The sequence below is a fragment of the Homo sapiens genome, chromosome 14 (assembly GCF_000001405.40).
Source record: "Homo sapiens chromosome 14, GRCh38.p14 Primary Assembly".
Classification (NCBI taxonomy): Eukaryota; Metazoa; Chordata; class Mammalia; order Primates; family Hominidae; genus Homo; species Homo sapiens.
Genome location: NC_000014.9, coordinates 63,497,676 through 63,521,637, shown reverse-complemented (window position 1 = coordinate 63,521,637; position 23,962 = coordinate 63,497,676). Strand labels below are relative to the sequence as shown.

At 41.2% G+C, this 23,962-nt stretch overlaps 1 protein-coding gene across 10 annotated transcripts in view, besides 1 other annotated feature; it reads left to right on the top strand.

Moving 5' to 3' along the window:
• Positions 1-23,962, top strand: part of PPP2R5E (protein phosphatase 2 regulatory subunit B'epsilon) — a 172,014-nt gene that overhangs the window by 21,740 nt on the left and 126,312 nt on the right. The window contains exon 1 of one of the 10 annotated variants that reach the window (XM_047431544.1): positions 13,400-13,430. The exons of 7 other annotated variants lie outside the window; for them this stretch is intronic. The gene's annotated coding sequence lies outside the window, so the exon portion shown is untranslated. Of the gene's footprint in view, positions 1-13,399; positions 13,514-23,962 lie in introns of those variants that run through there. 2 more of the 10 variants (NM_001282182.3, NM_001282181.3) reach the window with 2 other exon arrangements.
• Positions 8,460-8,749: an enhancer, noted in NCBI's record as "active region_8506". NCBI's record gives its function as "activates an Ori minimal core promoter by ATAC-STARR-seq in GM12878 lymphoblastoid cells {active_cell/tissue: GM12878}" and the evidence as "EXISTENCE:reporter gene assay evidence [ECO:0000049][PMID:35858748]".

The window sequence follows — 23,962 nt, the reverse complement described above, 5'->3', positions numbered from 1 at the left end:
AGACTGGAGTGCAGTGGCGTGATCTCAGCTCACTGCAACCTCTGCCTCCTGGGTTCAAGCGATTCTCCTGCCTCAGCCTCCTGAGTGGGATTACCGGCATGTGCCACCATGCCTGGCTAATTTTTGTATTTTTAGTAGAGACGGGATTTCTCCATGTTGGTCAGGCTGGTCTTGAACTCCTGACCTTGTGGTCTGCCCGCCTCCGCCTCCCAAAGTGCTGGGATTACAGGCATGAGCCACTGCGCCCGGCCAACTAACTGGTGTTTTTAATAGTAACCCGTCTTCTAGAAATAATGCTCATTTCACTTTAAGAAAGTTTAAAGATATTTTAATCAAAAACAGTTTAGATGAAGTTCTAAAACTTATGTTGAATAGAGCTATATTGTATTATATTTAGATTTATGTCTTAACATTTTAAAAGGCAGTTCAAGTAACTGGGATTTATTTTAACTGTACTGGTTTAGTGAGATGTTCTAGAAATGGTATATGCTTTAGATACTCTTGGGCTTAGGAGTGGTAGACTGTATTCATACTCTTGAATTATGGCAAGATTTGAATAAAATACATTATATGCATGTGTTTTTCTTTTTCTTTTTTTTGAGACAGAGTCTCACTCTGTTGCCCAGGCTGGAGTGCAGTGGCGCGATCTTGGCTCACTGCAAGCTCTACCTCCCTGGTTCACGCCATTCTCCTGTCTCAGCCTCCCAAGCAGCTGGAACCACAGGCACCTGCTACCATGCCCGGCTAATTGTTTTTTTTTTTTTTTTTTTTTTTTTTTGTATTTTTAGTAGAGATGAGGTTTCACCATGTTAGCCAGGATGGTCTCAATCTGCTGACCTCGTGATCCACCCGCCTCGGCCTCCCAAAGTGCTGGGATTACAGATGTGAGCCACTGCACCTGGCCACGCATGTGTTTTTCTAAATGTATATGAAGCAAACAGCTATGAAAGGAGTCCGCCTAGGACCTGGCTAACTCAGTCTCCTCCAAGGGCCTTAAATTCTCATTTTTATGATTGTTACAGTGGGCTATGCAGTTCAGTCCATTTATTCATTCATTCAACACATTTCTGTTGAGCCATATGATACACCAGACACTGTTCTGGGAATACAGTGATGAGCATAACAGGATTGGTCTCTGATATTTGGAGAGATAGATATTAATCACCTGAACAGACAAAGATAGAATTCCAACAATGGCAAGTGCTTTTGGAGAAATAGGGTGGCCATTCAGGGAAGGTTTCTCAGAGGAAGCGATTATGCTGAGAGAAGAAGACAGGGCAGGCAGGTTGATAAGGTTCTTCTTGGCTGGGCGCGGTGGCTCACACCTGTAATCCCAGCACTTTGGGAGGCCGAGGCGGGCGGATCATGAGGTCAGAAGATCGAGACCATCCTGGCTAGCACGGTGAAACCCCATCTCTACTAAAAATGCAAAAAATTAGCCGGGCGTGGTGGCGGGCGCCAGTAGTCCCAGCTACTCCAGAGGCTGAGGCGGGAGAATGGCGTGAACCCGGGAGGCGGAGTTTGCAGTGAGCTGAGATTGCGCCACTGCACTCCAGCCTGCGCGACAGAGCGAGACTCCGTTTCAAAAAATGTTGTAGCTAGAGATCAGAGACTGGATGGGCTATTAAGGTTTTCTGGGGCCAAATCCTCAAGACTGAATTAAGAGTTTGTCCGTAGGAGCTAGGCGTGGTGGCTCACACCTGTAATCCCAGCACTTTGGGAGGCCGAGGCGGGCGGATCACGAGGTCAGGAGTTCGAGACCAGCCTGATCAACATGGTGAAACCCCATCTTTACTAAAAATACAAAAATTAGCCGGACATGGTGGCACATGCCTGTAATCCCAGCTACTCGGGAGGCTGAGGCAGGAGAATTGCTTGAATCCAGGAAGCGGAAGTTGCAGTAAGCCGAGATTGCGCCGCTGCACTCCAGCCTCGGTAACAGAGCAACTCTGTCTCAAAAAAAAAAAAAGAGAGTTTGTCCTTAGGCCAGGCACGGTGGCTCATGCCTGTCATCCCAGCACTTTGAGAGGCCGAGGTGGGTAGATCACCTGAGGTCAGGAGTTCGAGACCCCCCTGGCCAACACGGTGAAACCCTGTCTCCACTAAAAATACAAAAAAAAAAAAAAAAAATTAGCTGGGCATGGTGGTGTGTGCCTGTAATCGCAGCTACTCGGGGGGAGAATCACTTGAACCCGGGAGGCAGAGGTTGCATTGAGCAGAGATCGTACCACTGCACTCCAGCCTGGGTGACAGAACAAGACTCTGTCTCAAGAGAAAAAAAAAGAGTTTGTCCTTGATCCCAAGAACATTTATACACCCTCAAATATACAACCACAGAATATATAAATCACCTCTAGATCCCCTACCCAGTCATAAGGAATAATATTTTCCCCTCATGTTTACGTATTTTTTTCTTTTTTTTTGAGACGGAGTCTCGCTCTTGTTGCCCAGCCTGGAGTGCAATGGCACGATCTTGGCTCACTGCAACCTCTGCCTCCCAGGTTCAAGCGATTCTCCTGCCCCACCCTCCCAAGTAGCTGGGACTACAGGCATGTGCCACCACGCCTGGCTAATTTTGTATTTTTAGTAGAGACGGGGTTTCTCCATGTTAGGCTGGTCTCGAACTCCCGACCTCAGATGATCTGCCTGTCTTGGCCTCCCAAAGTGTTGGGATTACAGGCATGAGCCACTGCGCCCGGCCTCTTTTATTTTTTTTATTTTTTTATTTTTAATTTTTTTAAGTGAAAGCAAGTTTATTAAGAAAGTAAAGGAATAAAAGAATGGCTACTCTGTAGGCAGAGCAGCCTGCATATTCTTATATTATACTTTTATTTTTCCATGTGATTATTTATAATAACATTATGATGGAAGATTACTTTGAGGTAGTCTTATTGTTGGAGTTGGAATTTTAAAAAGTTCTCTTGTCATGGTAACATTGTGCTTATTGTATTTTATGATATTGTGGTTTCCATGCAAACAAGTCACTTCATTGCTTGCCTTTTAAAAATATTGCTAATTTACTTTTAGACCATAAAAATGAAATATACAACAAAAAAACATCAAGTCTCTTAAAGAAAAACTGTAAATAAAATCTGTGTGGGCACTGTGGCTCACCCCTGTAATTACAGTGATTTGGGAGGCTGAGACGGGAGGATCTCTTGAGGCCAGGAGCTTGAGACCAACCTGGGCAGCAGAGTGAGATCCCTGTCTCTACAGAAGAAAAAAAAAATTAGCCTGGCATGGTGATGTATACCTGTAGTCCCAGCTACTCCAGAGGCTAAGGCAGGAGGATCCCTTGAACCCAGGAGTTTGAGGCTGCAGTTAACCATGATTGCACCACTGCACTCCAGACTGGGTGACAGAGTGAGACCAATAAATAAACAAACAAAAAAATCTGGGCCAGGAATGTTGGCTTATGCTTGTAATCCCAGTGCTTTGGGAGACTGAGGCAGGAGGATTGCTTAAGGCCAGGAGTTCGAGGCTGCAGTGAGCTGTGATTGCATCGCTGCAACACAGCCTGGGTGACAGAGTGAGATCCTGTCTCTAAAAAATAAAATTAATAAAATAAAATCTATCTGTAGGCTCAGCTATATGTTCTATGGATGCCACTGTGTTATTAAAGTACACAATCTTAAGTTTTTATGTGTTTTAATTCCCTATTTTATGAACTACTGCTTGGAATAGTGGGGAACATAATGCAATAGAATTAATTCATTAAGAGAATAAAAGTTTAGAAGATTAGATCTAGAATTATTGTCAGTACCAACTGAAGTTCATTAAATGAGAATGCAAGCAACAGTAAAACCGCAGTTAGGTGAAGCAATTAACATCGGTGGTGTTATGGTTACTGTGAAGACTGGAAAAATAAATAATTGAAAGTATTTCAAATTTGACAAATGGAATGAAGTTAAAAATTGAATCCACCTCCTTGTCACTTTCTAATTTTAAATTTTCCTGAGCTATTATAATTTAAATTATTGAGAATTATCTGCACTGCATTTTGTGGGTGGTGAAAATTGAGTGGAGTGAGTGCTTTTCAGTACCAGTGCTTGAAGCGAAACTGGATTTGTGATGGTTTACGTAAGGAAGAAAGCATCATCCATGATTATGTCAGACTCTGACCTGACAGGGTCTAACAAAATAAATAAAGGACTGTGGAGTTTGGGGTTTTTGATAGTGCTTAAATGACCACTCTTGTACCTAAATAGTTAATAAATTTCAAAGTGTTTTTAGTCATTTCATGGCTAGTCAAGACAGTGTGCATTCCTGTGGGCCCAAATCTATATTTAATATCAAAATATTCTTGGTGAAATTATGTTTCTTCACAGTTTTACTTAATGGAATATTCTTTTTCATTTGTGTGTTAATGTAGGGCACTACACCTACATTACTTGACTAGGAGGATATCCTATTTTTATTTTTTATTTTTTTTAAGCAAGGCTGGTAATAATTATGTACTGTCATAACATAATTTCACCACCTCAGGGTGTCATAGTTAACAATTGATACTCATTTGTGCCCACAGATGCAAGGATAGTTGACCAGTTCTCTGCCTCTTAAATAATACATATTTTTTGAGTCATAAGACTTGGGTTTCAAGTGGATCCTATAAAGTTGATCTCTTTGTATGCTACGTTTAGGGAAGTGAGTGTTTGTTTTTAAAAATCTATTTAGTTCATCCATAGACTAAATTGTTTAAGCAAAACAATATATCACTATATATTATATATTAGGTTTGCTATTGAGCTCTAAAAAGCATTCAGAAAGAATTTTTGAGTGAAGTAATATTTGGAAGCTGTCAAAGTTAGTACATTACTGAACCGAAGGATTAGCCTAGCCAAATATGAGCTGCTTTGCTCTATGACAGATGTGAAAGCATTGTGTTCACCTGTCTTCCCAGCTGGTGTGTGTTGAGATGGGGAGGTTGGAGATTGGGGAATTGGATGTGTGTGATGATCTTGGTATCTTGCCTGTGAAACATCGGGATTGGTGGTGGTTGCCAAATGTAGGAAATACGTTGATGATACGTGGACAGATAGGAAATCGCTATTAACCTAACACCTTTCATTCAGTGGGAGCATCTAAAAGTCTTCTAAACAAGATCCAAAGAAGTTGCTAGGAGTTTTGTGAAAGTATCTTTGCAGCAGGTGGCTTAGAATATGAATTTCATGTTGTGTTAAACATTTTTTCTTCATCTGTGAACTTTTACTTAAAGCTATTTTTATGAACTGAAATTATGGATTTGTTGCACGCATGCAATTTTGATTAGCAATGAAACCTATATTTAGTCTTTATTCTTAGATTTTTTTCTTTTTCTTCCTCATGGGAAGTTGTGGTTATTACAGTGTCCAAAACACTCATTTCTCATTCTTTTCTCAAGATAATGAGGGTCGTCATTGACATGTCTTCAGTTTCTGTTGAGATAAGAAAATGTATTCACCCTTGTGGAATTTTCCTTTCATAAGTAATTTAAATAAAATAAGTGGCTATGCCGGGTGTGGTGGCTCATGCCTGTAATCCCAGCACTTTAGGAGGCGGAGGTGGGCGGATCACAAGGTCAGGAGATCGAGACCATCCTGGCTAACATGGTGAAAGCCCATCTCTACTAAAAATACAAAAAACTAGCCAGGCGTGGTGGCGGGCGCTTATAGTCCCAGCTACTTGGGAGGCTGAGGCAGGAGGATGGCGTGAACCTAGGAGGCAGAGCTTGCAGTGAGCCAAGATTGCACCACTGCACTCCAGCCTGGGCGACAGAGCAAGACTCTGTCTCAAAAAAAAAAAAAAAAGTAAAATAAAAATAAAAGAAAATAAGTGACTATGACTGGGTACAGTGGCTCACACCTGTAATCCCAGCACTTTGGGAGGCTGAGGCAGGTGGATCACAAGGTCAGGAGTTCGAGACCAGCCTGGCCAACATGGTGAAACCCCATTTCTACTAAAAATACAAAAATTAGCCAGGCATGGTGGCAGGCACCTGTAATCCCAGCTACTCGGGAGGCTGAGGCAGGAGAATTGTTTGAATCCGGGAGGCGGAGGTTGCAGTGAGCCAAGATCACACCAGTCTGGGCTACAGAGTGAGACTCTGACTCAAAAAAAAAAAAAGTGTCTGTGAATGATAATGTTCACAAAAACAACATTATGTGTATTTGAAGTAGGTATATAATGAGGGAAACCAAGGCTCCAAGAAATCACTGACAGTGCAGAATTCATTAAGTGTGATTAAATTGGAATGTCAGTCAGAATTGTTTTCCAAGTTATCTTCTTGACTTGGTAGATGCTGAAGTTTCTATTCTACCTCGAGTTCTTACTTTTTATTCTAAATAATTTGAATAATTCTCAAAGACTCTGAAGCGAAAGCTTCAATCAGAGGAGGGTATTTCAGTTGTGTATACTGTTTGACTTCAACTTTATTGAAGCTTGAGATAGTGTCCCGTATAGTTGTTTATTTTCTCCCATCTGTTAACATTTTTGACATTTATTTTTTTCTTCTTTTTTCCCCTCTCTAAGTAGTTTTGCAGGTGGGCTTGCTTAGGGTTGTACGGAGGTATGGCCAGGTCAGAAATACAGAAGTGACATGGGAAGCTAGGGAGACTGAAGATAAAGACACAGAGATATTGCATGTTCAGCAGGGTAGAGTTATGAAAAGAGGGATAGGTTTGGGAGCTAGGCAGAAATCTTAGAATTTTAGTGAATTTTCCTTGTGAGCTGAGTGACTTTGGACAGATGACCTCACAGCCTCTGTTTGCTTGTCTGTAAAGTGGTGATAATATCGTCTACCTTGCAGGATTCATTTTAGAGGTGATATATGTGAAATGCCTAGAGTAGCAGCTAACACATGATAGGCGCTTGGTAATTGACAGTTGTCATGATATTTCCATCTTTGAGGTCAGGGAAATGGTCAATATTCCATGTCCATTTACGATTGTATTCTTGCTGTCTAGGATAGTGCCCCCTCTCATCTTCGCTGCTTAGAGTACCTGCTGAGGGAAACCCTCCTTTCAGGCAGGAAAGGAATTCTTTGTGTATTTAAAACAGTGCTGATTCTTACTATAGTATCGCTTCTTACTCATTACTTTTTCTTTTCTGGTTTGCATCTTAAATATTCTTCTAGAGAGTCTCTCTCTCTCTTTTTTTTTTAATGAAGAGAGTTTTTGTGTAATGTAGTATAATAAACATAGTTTTAAAGGTAGAGATTTATGATTATGGCTTGCTCTGGTTAGCAGGAAAGGTGTTGCTTTGGACAGAGCATAGTCTGTGAAAGACCCATGAGTATCAAAGGTGGCCAAATGCTTTGAAAGACTCTGGGCATAAGGTTCCTTTTCTGGTTTTATTATCAATCTTTTCAGTTGTGACTGAGAGCTGGCAGTGTCTGGCATGTAGGAGGTGTGGAATAAGTGTTTATTGAATGAATAAATATGATATTCAGATATAAAGATTTAGTGGGGTCTAAATTTATTGGGTAGTATTTATTTGATTAGATTTGGAGAGCGGAAATAGTATACAAACATTAAGTGACTTTTGGTGCAGTCTTGACAATAAAACAAACTCAGTTTCCTGTCATATCTGGGGCTTAGACTGGACAGACATTTGCTGGTTCACAAGAATTGCTGCTGGCATTAACCTGACACTTTGCAGCTCTCCTTGAAATATGCCGTAGAAAACATTGGGCTGGAGCCCAGGACCTAAAGAGCATAGTACCTTTGTGTCTGGGGGATGTGCAAGTGGAAGAGTGAGCTGCGGGAGAGAGTGTGATATTCTAGTCCTTTCTCTTACCCTGGCCCCTCTTGCCTTATAGGGATTCATATCAGCTCAGAGGCCCCAGTTCTGGCTCATCACAATTAATGAAAGATGAGCGCTATATAAGTTTCTCCTCTGGTCTTCTGTGTAGTTTCCCTTCCACTCAGATGGACACCCAGGCTCTCTTTATTTTTGTTTGATGTGTGTTCAGGAAATATAAAAAGCTTATTTTAATTCTAACTTTAAGTAAACAATTAGAAAGGAAAATTTCTGTTTGTTGTTGCAGGAACCCCTCCCCACCTCTATCCCCTGCCTCCCAAGCTCTACAATCTGTTCATTTGTTTTTAATATGCAGGAAGTGAATTTTAGGTTCTCCATGTTTTTATCCCTTCATTAGTGTGTATAATTAAGAGGTAACAGGATTTGATGTGGTTTTCCAAAGTTTTATGTAACATGAGAAGCACACTTAGTGAGTGGTTCATATTTTTGAAAGATTGTACAGTATTTGAGGGGAGATTTTCTTTTACCGGAACCTCATTTTCCAAGTTCTTCATTTTGCTGGGCATAATTTGATAAGACTTAGTCTATCCTTGTCCTTTTTACTTGAGGGCGATGCAGTGTGTATTTTGAATACACCAGTGCATGATCCTGAGGGGCCTTTCTTTGGTGAGTGTATCTTCAGAAACAGAGATAATCAGTATCCATCTTCAGGAATTTTCTTTCTTCCTGAAGACTCATTTCCACATGTCAAGTATAAACTAGGCCTATAAACTCTAGTGAGTGGTTTCATTTAACCATCCAAACAGTTTCTATTTCAGTTCCAAAAAAGGTAATTTTTCCCCCCCAGCCATTAAATAGCTGGGGTTTTTTGGTTGTTGTTGTTGTTGTTTTCTTGGTGGGGGGTAGGGGGGTGGAGAATGGGGTTTTCCACTGCTGCTGTTGGTTCTCTTTGGTGATAGGTGATGAGATGTTTCAGAAATCAAGCCATCTTCATACTAGTTGTTTAAAACTCAATATATAATACTAATGTTAGGTTTTTACAGAGTTTGGAAAGCTTGTGACAGAACATTTATAGGTAGGGAGGATTCTACTTAATTTATAGAGGTAGCTTGGAAGATATGTTTTAGTTTTCAAAATTACAGTATGTGACAATTAACTTTGTTTTAAAAAATTTTTTATTTTTTATATTACATTAGTTATTATAAGTAACAACAAGTAATTTGGAAAAGAGAAATGGCCTAGAAGGAGATACGAGGAAACTTAACACTGGTCATCTTTGGGGAATAGGAGTGGAAGTTTTCACTTTCTATCTTAACATTAAAAAAATTAATTAAAAACAGAAGGGTAGTTATGTGTCTCAAATCTGCCTTTCCAATTAATAGAAAGTAACAACTACTGAGAAGAAAAATGATATCTATAAACATTGGTGATCATCACATTAAGCCTTTGTATGATCACTTACAGAGTCTACCAGAGACTTTCAATACAGCATAAATGCTTTTACTCTTAAGTATTATTTGTGGTATGTATGTTTGTCCTTCTATCCTTCCATCCACCCATCATCTATCTCTACCCATCTATCTGTATCTGCTAAGGAAGAGAAGTGCAGCTTGGTTTCTTTTCTATAAGGAAAGAGCGTAACTGTTCCTCTATCTAGATGATCTTGAAAGAGCATATTATTTTTGATGTTTGGCAAGAGGGTAAAGTACTTAGTAATTTTCAAAAATGGTGTGTGGGACATTGAAAAGATACATTGTATTGGTGTGAAATCTTTTATTTTCAGTGTTCTGAGATTCTTTTTTTTTTTTTTTTTTTTTTTTTTACCGCAGAGTCTCGCTCTGTCGTCCAGGCTGGAGTGCAGTGGCACAATCTCAGCTCACTGCAACCTCTGCCTTCCAGGTTCAGGTGATTCTTCTGCCTCAGCCTCCTGACTAGCTGGGATTACAGGGGTGCACCACCACGCCCGGCTAATTTTTTGTATCTTAGTAGAGATGGGGTTTCACCATGTTGGCCAGGCTGGTCTCAAACTCCTAACCTCATGTGATCCACTCACCTCGGCCTCCCAAAGTGCTGGGATTACAGACGTGAGCCATCACACCCAGCTGAGATTCTTATCTTGGTAATTTTTTGCACAGAGAACTCAGCTCTCTATCATACTACATTTTAATGAGCTACACGGTGATTTATGACTTGTGCTCTTTCCTTTTCTAATCAGCTCATCAACACCATACCCATTCTATGTCAGTTTACTTTAGAATTGAAATTTTGCCTTTTATATAATGCTGTTAGGTGGCTTGCATTCGATTTGGGGGATAAATAGATTTTGAATCAGCTTTTGCTGCTCAACAAACCACTCCAAAACTTGGTGGCTTAAAACAACAGGCATTTATTTAGTTCACCATTTTGTGGTTTGGCAATTTAAGCTGGGCTCAGCTATGTGATGGTTCTCTTCTCCTCTGAGCTCACTCATGAACATCCCGTCAGATGGATAGTCTCACTCACATACATGACGGTTGGCAAGGGCTACAGGGATGCCTGGGCTTTGTGAGTCTCATCATCCAGCAGGTTAGCCTGGGCTTCTCCACATGGTGGCTTGTGGGGTTCTCTAAAGCCTGGGGTTCTCCACTTGGTGGCTTCTGGGGTTCTCTAAAGCAGTAAGAGAGGGCAAATGCAAATGCTTAACAACTTTTGAAATCTCTGCATCATGTTTGCTATTGTCCCATTGGCCAAAGTGAGTTACAAGTCCAGCTAAAATTCCAAGGATGGAGAAAGACTACCTCTTTGTGGGAGGAGCTATAAAATTATACTGCAGTGGCATGAACACAAGGAGGGAAAGAATTTGTGGCCATTTCTGCAATCTGCCATAAATGTACTTGGGACTTCTCACCTTGGTTCAATGGATACTGTCTTTATTTTGAAATATGTCTAGAATCCAACCACTTCTCACTATCTTCTCTGCCTCCTTTGCTACTTCCTAGTCCAAACCACTATCATCTTTTGCCTCCCAACAGGTTCCCTGCTGCTTCCACCTTTTCACGTGTGTTCTACACAGCAGCCAGAGCAAGCTTTTAAAAACAGAAGTCGGATTATGTCACTCCTCTGTTCAAAACCTTCCACTGGCTTCTCATTTCATTCAGAATAAAATTTAGATTACTTTCTGAGGTTACAAAACTTTACATGATGTGGCTCTTTCTTTGACCTCATCTTAACTCACTGCTTTTAGCCACACTCCCTCCTTGCTGTTTCTCAAACACACTAACAGGCCGTAGGGCTTTGCATTTGTGGTTTTCTCTACCGGATACTCAGCGTGTCTCCTTTCTTTACTTCTTTAAGGTCTCTGTTTATATGTCACCTTCTCAGAGAGGCTGTCAATGATACACTACATAAAATAACATTCTTGCTTACCAGTCTCTGGCTTGCTGTATTTTATTCCTTAGCACTTATCACCACTTGACAGTTGTTTATTTTCTATCCCCTTCAGTTAGACTGCATGCTCCATGAGGGCAGTGACCTTGAGTATTTTGTTTGCTGTTTATCCCCAGTGCCTAGAACAGTGCCTGGTGCAGGGTGTATGCCACCTAAGCCTCAGCAGAATCACTGTCCAGTGACATTCATCACCTGGTCTTAGTGGTGGCTCTTCCCTAGAAGTGAGGTGAGGTCTGTGTCCCATTGTTGTTGGGCTGGAGGCAGCTGGTTTTCTCCTATTCGTTGATGCTCAGCTGGACCGGTGTTGTGATATTTAAGGAAAGTTTCATCCTATCCCTTTTTGCCAACAGAATTTTAATTTGATGACTTTATGGTCATTTTTCTTTATAAATACCCATCTTCATGGATTTAAATATATAATCATTGTATGCTTATGGTTTACATAAATATGAGTATTCATATGTTTGTTTTTTTGAAGAGGGTGGCACATGGAGCAAACACTTTTTACTTAGGCATGGATGCTCAGGTAGTGGTGTTGATGCCTTCTTTGTGTACTCTTGAAATTCCTGCAAGCTCCCAAACCTTATTATACTCAGATCTACGTACCAAATTGCTTAGGTCCCAGTGGGCCAGACTTCTGCTGAGCGTTAGCTAACTCAGGGATAGAGTTGCTGTCCTTCAAGTATAATTTGTCTCTCAGATGGCTTTCCCATAGCTGATTCTCAGGCTTTGAATATGGGTTCTGTTAGTCCACAGGCATTGACTCCATTTGCAGGTGTGTGTTTGTAACATATAGTCAAACCTCTAACATTTGGAATAATGAGATGAGATGAGAATGAGTAGGAGGAGGGGCAGTCTGGTTTAGTGAAATATCTGATGCACAGAATATTTAAAATTAGGCCTGGCACAGCGACTCACGAGGCCTGTAATCCCAGCACTTTGGGAGGCCAAGGCGGGTGGATCACTTGAGGTCAGGAGTTCGAAACCAGCCTGGCCAACATGGCAAAACCCCTTCTCTACTAAAAATACAAAAATTAGCTGGGTGTGGTGGTGCGTATCTGTAATCCCAGCTACTTGGGAGGCCAAGGCACGAGAATCGCTTGAACCTGGAGGCAGAAGTTGCAGTGAGCTGAGATCGCGCCACTGCACTCCAGCCTGGGTGATAGAGCAAGACCCTGTTTCAAAAAAAAAAAAAAAAAAAAAAAAAGGATATTTTAAAATAAAGGTAATTCTATGATTTTTAAATTATAGCGCATGTCATAGACTAAGATACAACTGGGGTATGAGTCCCAAAAGCAACTGTAATGGAAATATTTGCAGTCTACACAGGCCTAGAGAAGAAGTGAAGGATTTTAAGCAGCAAAGTCTGTGTAAGAGTTATTTGACTCAGACTTTGAAGGCTAAAGAACCAGATAAATCTAATTTCTTGAAACCTTTGATTTGAAAAAGTTACTGATTTTATATTAATGGACCTGAAGATGTTCAGGTGCAGATTAACTTGTACTTGATTAGAATCATATTCTTCAAGTATAAAATAGAAATTTTGCAGTGGAAAAGCTGAGACATGTGATTTCTCTGCCTGGCTTCTTCTGGACCTTAAGGTAACTTTCACTGGAGATGTCTCCCATTCCAGAAGTGGAAATTTATGTTTTGCTGCCCCAAAGCTGGTTGAATTAGAAAGCTGGAAAGCAAAGCAAGAGAGAGCTTTAAATATTTAGTGGAAAGAGGGTGCTGATAATGACAGTCAGGATTGTGGGTCTCTTCTGGACTCTGGCTTCTTACGAGAGGAAGGGTTAAGAACATCCCCTTTTGGGGAAGACAAGCTAGGACTTCAGTCCAGTTTTGCCATTTACTGTTGGAGTGATCTTAGATTAAGTTATTTAATCTCTCTATGCCTCAGTTTCCTTGGTGGTAAAAAGGGGAATATTGAGAGGGCTCATACCTTAGAGTTGTAAGGATTCAATGCAGTGATATATGGAAAAGGCTTATTGTAGATGCTCAGGAAATGTTAGCTAATATATATAGAAGGCATATTTTCTGAAGAATTCAGGAAAATGATACCAGAAGGGCTTAAATGGGCACCCAGGACACAGTTTTATGTGCCATTGTGGTCCCTATGAAACTAGCGAATATATGCAGTTGTTTTGTGAGAGTGACAGAACAAAGAGTGACAGGCAGAGGGAGGGGGTTGCCATAGCATTGGGGTAAACAAGTGAGCCGCGTGGTTTAGAGAGGAAAGCATTTGTGTGCATAGTGGCTCCAAAGAGGTGTGTGAGGTGTGCGAGGAGGGAAGAGCACACACTTGGTAATGAAGGCCTGAGAGCTGCAGGGGCTGGAAGAGAACACTCGTGTGTGTAGAAGTGTGTGTGGGGGTGGGAAGGAGGGTGGAGTGAGGGTTTATGGGCTTGGATCAGGCTATTACATTGGATCCCAAAGGCATTAGGTGCCACTCAAGCTGGATCTCTACAAAGGGGACTCATACAAACTGAGGCTCCGGAAGAAAAGAGTTCTGTGGGTTTATGATAAATCCCTAGGGTCAGGCTTCTCAAACTTATCTAATCAAGTGCCCCTAGGCATAAGAGAATTACCCTTGCTGGGGCCGGTTGCGGTGGCTCACGCCTGTAATCCCAGCACTTTGGGAGGCCGAGGTGGGCGGATCACAAGGTCAGGAGATGGAGACCATCCTGGCTAACATGGTGAAACCCCGTCTCTACTAAAAAATACAAAAAATTGGCCGAGTGGTGGCGGGCGCCTGTAGTCCCAGCTACTTGGCAGGCTGAGGCAGGAGAATGGTGTGAACCTGGGAGGCGGAGCTTGCAGTGAGCTGAGATCACACCACTGCACTCCAGCCTGGGCGACAGAACAAGACTCCGTCTCAAAAAAAAAAAAAAAAAAAAAAGAGAATTACCCTTGCTGCAGTTATTTTTAAGTCTTGTTTTTTTTTTTTACTTTAAAAATTCAGAGATTTTTGCATTTCATAATCTATTTGTTTCTTTTCGTTCTAAACGCTGGTATTTTTAGTAAAGTTAATCGTACCAAGGGAGAAGTGCCATGTTTATCTCATGGCTTCTAAAAGGAACCCACACTGCCCTTCTGAGATTAATCCAGGAGCAAGGTAATTAACAGTTATGGTAGTTGGATGCCAGGAAAGAGAGAGGTCTTTAGAAGGGGCCTTGTACTCACAGCAGGTAGGCAGTTGGTATTCCCTCACTGCTGCTTCTAGGCCTTTAAGGCCCCATATCCTTTCTGTAAGGCAACTTGTGAGTTTTTGAAGGCCCACTGATGGTCCTTTAGTGCTCACTACTTACCCAGGCTACTGAGATCCTCCCTTGTGCCCCCTGCAGCAGTGGCCTGGGATAGGAGGTAATGGGTGCATTTAATACTCTTGTCCCAGGCTGGGCACCGTGGCTCACACCTGTAACCTCAGCACTTTGGGAGGCTGAGGTAGGGGATCACTTGAGGCCAGATTCTCAAGGTTCCTCCATGTTGTCGCATGTGTCAGCACTTCATTCCTTTTTGTGGCTGAATAATATTCCATTGTGCCACATTTTAAAAATCCATTTATCAGTTGATGAACATTTGGGTTGTTTCTGCTTTTTGGCTATTATGGATAATGCTGTTATGAACATTCATGTACAATTTTAGTGGACATACTTTCAGTTACCTTGGGTAAATATTATACCTGGGAGTGGGATTGCTGGGTCATTTGGTAACTCTGTTTTAACTTTCTGAGATATTGCCAAACTGTTTTCCACAGCAGCTCCACCATTTTATATCCCCACCAGGAAGGTATGAGGGATTTAATTTCTCTACATCTTTGCCAACACGTATTATTTTCTCTCTTTTTGATGATAGTCATCTTATTGGGTGTGATTTGCATTTCCTGGATGGCTGATGATGTTGAACATCTTTGCATGTTCTTACTGGCCATTTGTGTATCTTCTTTGGAGAAATGTCTATTCAAATCCTTTGCCTACTTTTGGATTATCTTTTTGTTATTATTATTATTACTTTTTTCTTTTTTGAGACGGAGTCTTGCTCTGTCGCCCAGGCTGGAGTGCAGTGGCGCAGTCTCGGCTCACTGCAAGGTCCGCCTCCCGGGTTCACGCCATTCTCCTGCCTCAGCCTCCTGAGTAGCTGGGACTACAGGCGCCCGCCACCATGCCCGGCTAATTTTTTTGTATTTTTAGTAGAGACGGGGTTTCAGCATGTTAGCCAGGATGGTCTCCATCTCCTGACCTTGTGATCCACCCGCCGCGGCCTCCCAAAGTGCTAGGATTACAGGCTTGAGCCACTGCGCCCGGCCAATCTTTTTGTTATTAAGGTGAAGAATTCTTTTTATATTCTGGGTATAAGTCCCTTATCAAATATATGATTTGCAAATATTTTCTCCCATTTAGTGGGTTGCCTTTTCTTGATGGTGCCCTTTGAAGCATGCAAATATTTACATGCTCAGAAAATATTTGTCAAAGAATGAATGAAAGAAACACTACCTTTTATTGAAAGCCTTGCCTGACTTTACACAACGTTGTGATTTTGTCTCTTGGATACCTAGGGTGTATATATTTTTTCATATTGATTATAATACTCCCCACATTGCTTTGTAATTTATTTGTAGTATTTTCTCCCTCACCCAGTGATACCTTGGGAGGCAGGTGCTGTGTCTACTATGTTCCTAACTGAGTTTCTGGTGTGGGTAATAGGGTAGTATGTGACGGTCACTGAATGTTGCCTGAATGAATGCATGGATTTCTCTGTGGAACTCTGTCAAGTGAGAGGGGATGCAGCTGGTCCAGATTGTTGGTCTTCAATTTTTATGAACCAGCTTAGATTCAGATTGTAGAGTGTGTGCAGAAGGCTGTGATTCTCCAGCTTGCAGTCCATACTTTATCAAGGACTGCTTGGAGGCAGACGAGCTTGAAGAACTCAGCCTCCTTGCATGGGCTTCTTAGTGTGGAGAAGGGGTGGGGAGAGCAGAGTGAATGGCGAAGTGTTCAGTGTGTGAGCAGGTTGTCATTATTAATGTATCGTAATGACCATGGTGTTTATGGGATTTCTTCAATTTTAAAGTGGTCATTACCAAGGTTAATTATCTTCTTAACCTTAGAGGTGTAAAGCTGCTTTTGGCATCTTTGGAAACTTCTTTTGGAGCTACCAGATTAGATGGTCTTAGTATTTATTTATTTATTTGACAGAGTCTCACTCTTTCCTCCAGGCTGGAGTGCAGTGGCATGATCTTGGGTCATTGCAGCCTCGGCTGCTGGGGTTCAAGCAAACATGTCCGGCTAATTTTTGTATTTTTAGTAGAGGCAGGGTTTCACCATGTTGGCCAGGCTGGTCTGGAACTCCTGACCTCAAATGATCCGCCTGTCTCGGCCTCCCAAAGTACTGGGATTACAGACATGAGCCACCACGCCCGGCCGGTCTTAGTAATACTTTAAGATTTCTTTCAGCTCTAAGATTTCATAACTCAAAACTTTGTCTTCCCAATGAAATCTTTCTTGATTACTTTAGTCCTTAATGATCCCCATCTTCTTAACCTAAGTCATGCAAGACATATTTATGTGAACAGCATGGTATCATTCATTCATTCAGCAAACATTGCATTAGGAACTTGGCTAGATGCTGGAGTGACAAAGATGACCAAGACAGCATTTTTTTTTTAACAGTGTTTACTGAACACATATTTTATGCTATGCCCTGGGGGTAAAGGGTGACTAAGACGTGTAAGGCACTTGCATTCTACAGGCCATTGCTTTTCATGGGTATAGGTTTTCTCTCCCCAGTTAGACTGTAAGCCTTGTTTTTTGTATCTCATTCCCCCAAACATCTAATACGATGAGTAAATAGTTTCTCAAGCAGTACTTGATTGACTTCTTTTTCCTCTTTTTTTGAGGTGGAGTCTCACTCTGTCGCCGAGGCTGGAGTACAGTGGTGAGATCTCAGCTCACTGCAACCTCCGCCTCCTAGGTTCAAGCCATTTTCCTGCCTCAGCCTCCCAAGTAGCTGGGACTATAGGCGTGAGCCACCACGCCTGGCTAATATTTGTATTTTTAGTAGAGATGGGGTTTTGCCATGTTTGCCAGGCTGGTCTTGAACTCCTGACCTGAAGTGATCCTCCTGCCTTGGCCTCCCAAAGTGCTGGGATTACAGGTGTGAGCCACCGTGCCTGGCCAATTGACTTCTTGGGTGGGTTTTTTTTGTTTTTGTTTTTGCTTTTTTTTTGATTGCCAAGAAAAGTTTTGCTTGCCAAGAAAATGTGAGAGGTATTTGGAACTTTGAAATTTATAATCTATACAATACGTACAGGTCTTGGGCAAGTGGCTACTCAGGTGTTACGGTGGAAATAATCTATACCTGTGCCTGATTCTTGATTGGGAAGAAAAATTTGGAAGTAGTTTAGAGAGTGATTCAAAACTTCTCATATTCCCTAGCTCTTTTAATCTATTTCATTTCTGAATAATGAAGTGATGTATTCAAATTTTGCACTCAGAGGACACTGGCGTGTGATTTTGGGACTGCATGCTTAATCAGAACTTGAAAGAGTTTTTGTTTTGTTTGCTTTGCTTTTAAAACCAGGGTTCTGCCCTTCTTAGTAAAGCATATTTTGGGGCAGGGAGGCATACTGATTGGGATTTTTTCCAAATGGTTTTCCTCACATCTTGCCATCGGAACCTCTTAAATAAGGGCTTTCAAGGCCCCCATGCAATTCTGGTAGTTTCAGTATACCTAAGAGAAGACAGGTTATTAATGATTTTCAGATGTGAAATTCATTAAACTATATAGTAAATTAAAGTGCTTTTGGGGAAGGATAATAGTAGGGAGTATTGAAACAGAACATCTAAAACAACTGTCTTCCTTGCAGTGTTAACATGTGATATAAATGTGGTGTTTTTTGCCCTTACTGCTTGCCTTATGTTACCTCCTTTGCTCTGGAACAGTTGTTTTCAGACTTCAGTGGGCATAGGAATCACCTGAGAAATTGGTTGGAGTTGTTGATTTGCTATCTTTTACCTGGGGGATATGCAGTCCAGGTGGTTCAAATGCTTTTTGAGCAGACTGGATATTGCTTTGGCAGTGTCATAGTGCTTGTTTCTAACCTCTACATAGAGGCCTGTTCCTGCCTGTCACTCCACACCCCACGTTCTTCAATGGCCTCAGTGCCTTTGCTCTATTCATTCCTCCTAAGATGGAAATTCGTCTTCTGTCTCCTTAGGGCTCAGCTCAAGAGGAGGCCTTCCCAAGAAGCTTTGTCTAGTCTAGCTCACTCTGATGATGCCTTTCCCAAAATCCCTCTGTACATACAGTAGTTAAAAAAAAAATGGCTAACTTTCCCTGTTTGGCTCTTATAGTATGTAATTTTTTATTTATGGTCTGTATTGCTCATTGGACCATTCCTGTATATTGCACTGCTTTACTGGTTATCTTTCAAGGTTCCCATGTGCAACTTCAGAGGTTGTGCAGTGCATAATATTAATGTGCTAGTCCTCTGTCTTTGTATTTTTGTTTCTGAGATGAGGTTTCTTGCTATGTTGCCCAGGCTGGTCTCAAACTCCTGGGCACAAGTGATTTTCCTGCCTTGGCCTCGCAAAGTGCTGGGATTACAAGTGTAAGCCATTGCACCCGGCCTAGTTATTGACTATTACTATATTTCATGAGCTTTCAGACACCTTTTTCTGATAGTTTTCTACTGGTAGATTTGCTTTTATAAAATTTTATAAAATTTCAACATGGTAATATTTATCCTTCCTATAGATGGCATTTGGGTATTGTGGTGGGAGTGTTTTCTTTTTCTTTTTTATTTTTTTGAGATGGAGTCTTGCTCTGTCACCCAGACTTGAGTGCAGTGGCATGATCTCAGCTCACTGCAACCTCTGCTTCCCAGGTTCAAGCAATTCTCCTGCCTCAGTCTCCCGAGTAGCTGGGATTAGAGGCACACACCACCATGCCTGGCTAATTTTTGTATTTTTAATAGAGATGGGGTTTCACCAGGCTGGTGTCGAACTCCTGACCTCATGATTTGCCTGCCTCGGCCTCCTAAAGTTCTGGGATTACAGGCGTGAGCCACTGCATCCTGGCAAGTGGGAGTGTTTTCATTATGCCACCTTCTGTGGGGTCCTCATGGCAAGTGAGGTGTTGAGCAGGATGAATCTTGTCACCCTCAGGACTTCGAGAAGGGAAGTTAGGGGTGTCAGGAGGCCGGGCAGCACCTCCTGCCTCTAAGTCTGGTGCCCTCTGCTTCATGCTATGTAGATGGTTCCATTTAAAAAAACAACTTCCAGCTGGGTGCAGTGGCTCACATCTGTAATCCCACCACTTTGGGAGACCAGGGCAGGTGGATCACTTGAGGCCAGAAATTTGAGACCAGCTTGGCCTACATGGTGAAACCGCATCTCAACTAAAAATACAAAAATTAGCTGGGCGTGATGGTGCGTGCCTATAATCCCAGCTACTCGGGAGGCCGAGACAGAAGAATTGCTTGAACCTTGGAGGTGGAGGCTGCAGTGAGCTGAGATCTCGCCACTGCACTCCAGCCAGGCTGACAGAATAAAACCGTGTCTCAAAAAAATAAAAAATTAACAAAACTCTAATTTTTATTTGGAAATAATTTTAGACAAAGTAGCAAAAATAGAGAACTCAGATTGCTTCCCCTAATACTGGCAACTAACTGTCTTTTCCACTTTTTATTGCTGAGTATGGTTCCGTTTTGAATATATGTCACCACCATATTTTTTAACAGCTTTATTGAGACATAATTCACGTACTATACAGTTCACTCATCTAAAGTGTGCAATTCATTAGTTTTTAGTATGTTCACAGAGTTGTATAACCATCACCACAATCTATTTTTAGAACATTTTTATCACCTCAGAATGAAATTCTGTGCCCATTAGCAGTCACTCCTCATTCCTCTCGCTACCTTCTCTCTCCAGCTGCAGGCAATCACTAATCTACTTTAATCACTAATCTACTTTATGTATGTATCTCTGGATTTGCCTATTCTGGACATTTGATGTAAAATTTCCACCATCATTATATCTTATTAACATTTTCTTTTTTTTTTTTTTTTGAGACGGAGTCTTGCTCTGTCGCCCAGGCTGGAGTGCAGTGGCACTGTATCGGCTCACTGCAAGCTCCGCCTCCCGGGTTCACGCCATTCTCCTGCCTCAGCCTCTTGAGTAGCTGGGACTACAGGCGCTCGCCACCACGCCCGGCTAATTTTTTTTTGTATTTCTTTTAGTAGAGATGGAGTTTCACTGTGTTAGCCAGGATAGTCTCGATCTCCTGACCTGGTGATCTGCCCGCCTCGGCCTCCCAAAGTGCTGGGATTACAGGCATGAGCCACTGCGCCCGGCCCTTATTAACATTTTCTATGCAGATCCTGGCTCTCCCTCTTACAAGTGTCTGACTGTGGACTTGTCATTTAATTTGTCTCTACCTTGGTCTCCTGATTTGTAAAGTGGGAGATAATAATAGTATGTAGATGTAGAGTTGTAAGAATTAAATGAGTTAACATGTGGAAAGCACTTGGCTCCAATTTGTACTCTATAAATTTTAGCTGCTGTTACGCTAGGATGTCATAGTTTTTCTTTTTCTTTTTTTTTTTAGAGATGCGGTCTCACTCTGTCACCCAGGCTGATTGTGTAGTGGTGCAATCATAGCTTGCTGCCACCTTAAAATCCCAGGCTCGAGAGATCCTCCTGCCTCAGCCTCCTGAGTAGTTGGGACCACAGATGCACCACCATGCCTGGCAATTTTTAAAAATTTTCTTGTAGAGACGGCAGTCTTGCTATATTGCCTATCTATGTTGCTCTATTGTCTCAAACTCTTGGCCTCAAGAGATCCTCTTGCCGTGGCCTCCCAAAGCCCGCTGTGCCCACCCAGGGATCTGTCATATTTCTAATTGGTTCATTTATGGTCTTCCATATTGGTATTTACTGTTTCTGTGTCATTACCAGTTAACCATACAAGTATGTAACAATTATTCATATCAGTTTTATTATTTTGTCCTAAATCCTGAGTTTAGAATTTAGTCAATGTAAACGATTTCCTGTCACAAAGACTTAGCTGGTAAAAAGAACTGCAGCATTTGGCATTGTAAGTATGCATCTTCATTTGGCACCTTGGTGTATTTATTTGAATGAGAGGTGATGTACCCATCTGATTTAGTTAAAGTCAAAATAAATCTAGGGCGTCGGTTTCTGAAAACCAAGTTTTACTTTCATTAAAGTGAATTTCAAGAAAAGTTGCTTTTGAAACTAATTTTTTAAAAACACATTTATTTCTCATAGACTTTCAATATCAAAGGGGAGACAATATGTTCCTATAAGAAAAATTCATAGTGCCCAAAACATACCCATCACCACCCCCTCTATAGATGGGAAAACTGCTGAGGTTTAATTTGAGTGATGTGCAGGATAGTTAAATGAAGCTTGAGAAATACCTGTTTACAATAGTTACACATTGTCCAAATAATTTTCAGCATAAATAATGAGTCAAATCCAGATTAGGATGTGGCAGAGGGATTGTGAAATACCAGACAAAAAACTGGAGATATTGGGCTAGGAACCAGAAGATCTGGGATCAGGACTTGCTACCAGTCAGCTGAATGACCCGGAGCAAGCCACTTAAGTTCTTTGGGCCAGTTTCCTCATCTGTAAAATGAGACAACTGGACTAGAATAGATGGTCTCTTGGGGCTTATCCAGAGCAAAAATTCCTTGGTTTCTTTCTTTTTTTTTTTTTTCTGAGATAGAATCCCAGTCTCTCTTCCAGGCTGGAGTGCAGTGGTGCGATCTCAGCTCAGTACAACCTCTGCCTCCCAGGTCCAAGTGATTCTCCTGCTTCAGCCTCCCGAGTAGCCGTGATTACAGGCACGCAGTGCCACCACGCCTGGCTAATTTTTGCATTTTTAGTAGAGACGGGTTTTGCCGTGTTGGCCAGGCTGGTCTCGAACTCCTGACTTCAGGTGATCCACCCACCTCGGCCTCCCAAAGTGCTGGGATTACAGGTGTGAGCCCCTGCACCCAGCCTTATTTCTCATAATAACAAGATACTACCAAATATTGATTAATTTAGAGAAATCTCTAAATTTGTGTTTTTGCTGCTCTTTTTCTCATCCTTATTACTGCCATAGCCCTTCTAGTTTCACAGTGAGGTGGCTATTTTATGATTTGTATTTTTACATTTCTGCTGTCATATATATTTTTCTCTCTTTTAGGCAGCTCTGACCTGTGATATGTTCAAAATTGTATTAAGGTTTTAGTTACAGATACTCTGGTTGGGTAGTGGAGCTCAAACCAAAACCAACCTTCTCTCTTTGGTGGTGGAAATGGAAGCTGGCACATTCTGTGTTCCAGTATGTCCTGGGGCCTTTTTATGAGTAGCTGCATTTCTTAAAAATTGCCTGTGATGAAGTAAACGTGCATATATAAATGATTTTCATGACTAATTTTGATTTTAAATTTGGAAATACAGTTTTATAGTGGGAAAACATTGGTACCTGACACACAATAAATTTTCACTTACGATTCCTAATATTTACTTTAAAGAGCCATTCTGCTTGTAACTAGGCAGTTTTATATTTCATAGTCTCTGCCAGTGGTTTCTAATTTTGGGCCACGAATGCTGGAGAGGTATATGAAGTTGTTATAAGGGATTTGATTATCCAAATGAACCCCTATCTGCAGACTGATTTGTACTGGTGTTTTCAGATGTATATAGGGATTTGTGACTAATGAAGAATTATTTAAGGCTGGATCAGTGGTTCATGCCTGTGATCCTAGCACTTTGTTAAGCCAAGGTGGGAGGATTACTTGAGCTTGGGGAAGTCGCGGCTGCAGTAAGCCATGTTTGTGCCATCTCGCTCCAGCCTGGGTGACAGAGTGAGACCCTGTCTGGGAAAAAAAAAAATTACTTAAAAGTACTTCCTGAATTCATAAAAATGTTTTGTTATTGTATTTTCTTTAGTGATATTAATGAAGATCCAAGACACTTAAAAACATTCCAAAGGTTCATACACACAAAACTTGAAAAACATCCTTTTCTAAAACCATGTCAAGCAAAGCATGATGTAGACTTAAAAAGAAAAAAAGAAAAGAAAAGAAATGATGTCAAGAGGTTAGTGAAGTGGACAGAGAGGTCAACCTGATAGTATACATTTGTTTAAAAGCATGCATATATTTTGTAGTTTCTTTTGTAAGTAGAACTTAGAGAATTTAAGCAATCTTTGCTTTTTCACTGAATAAAAACCACACTGTTTGTCTTTAGGACCTTAAGTCTCAAGAAAAAAACAAACATTTTAAAAATCCCTCAAGACTTGGTTGATACTACCTGAAAAAGCTCTCTAAATTACAAAGAAGAGATATTAAGTTCATTTCTGATAAGATGGTTAGTTTTGTTGACTGAATTGACATCATGCTCAAAATAAGACATAAGCTGTAGGAACTAAATTCAGTTATTGCCAGAAGTTCACCACATACCAAATGTATTATTCTAAGTGAATAAGAAAATGAGATTTATTGATATTATAATAGAAATATTGAACAGTAGAGAAGTGTGATGCCAGGTGATGCCACTAACGTGAGTATGCTTCTGGCCATTAAAGGAGGATGTTGTATGACATCTTGCATTAATCATTGATTTACCTTTCCACTTTCTGCATAAACCTTGAGCAGGTTCATGTGTTTTTTGTGTTTGTTTTTTTTTGTTTGTTTGTTTGTTTTTTTGAGATGGAGTCTCCCTCTGTCGCCCAGGCTGGAGCACACTGGTACAGTCTTGGCTCACTGCAACCTCTGCCT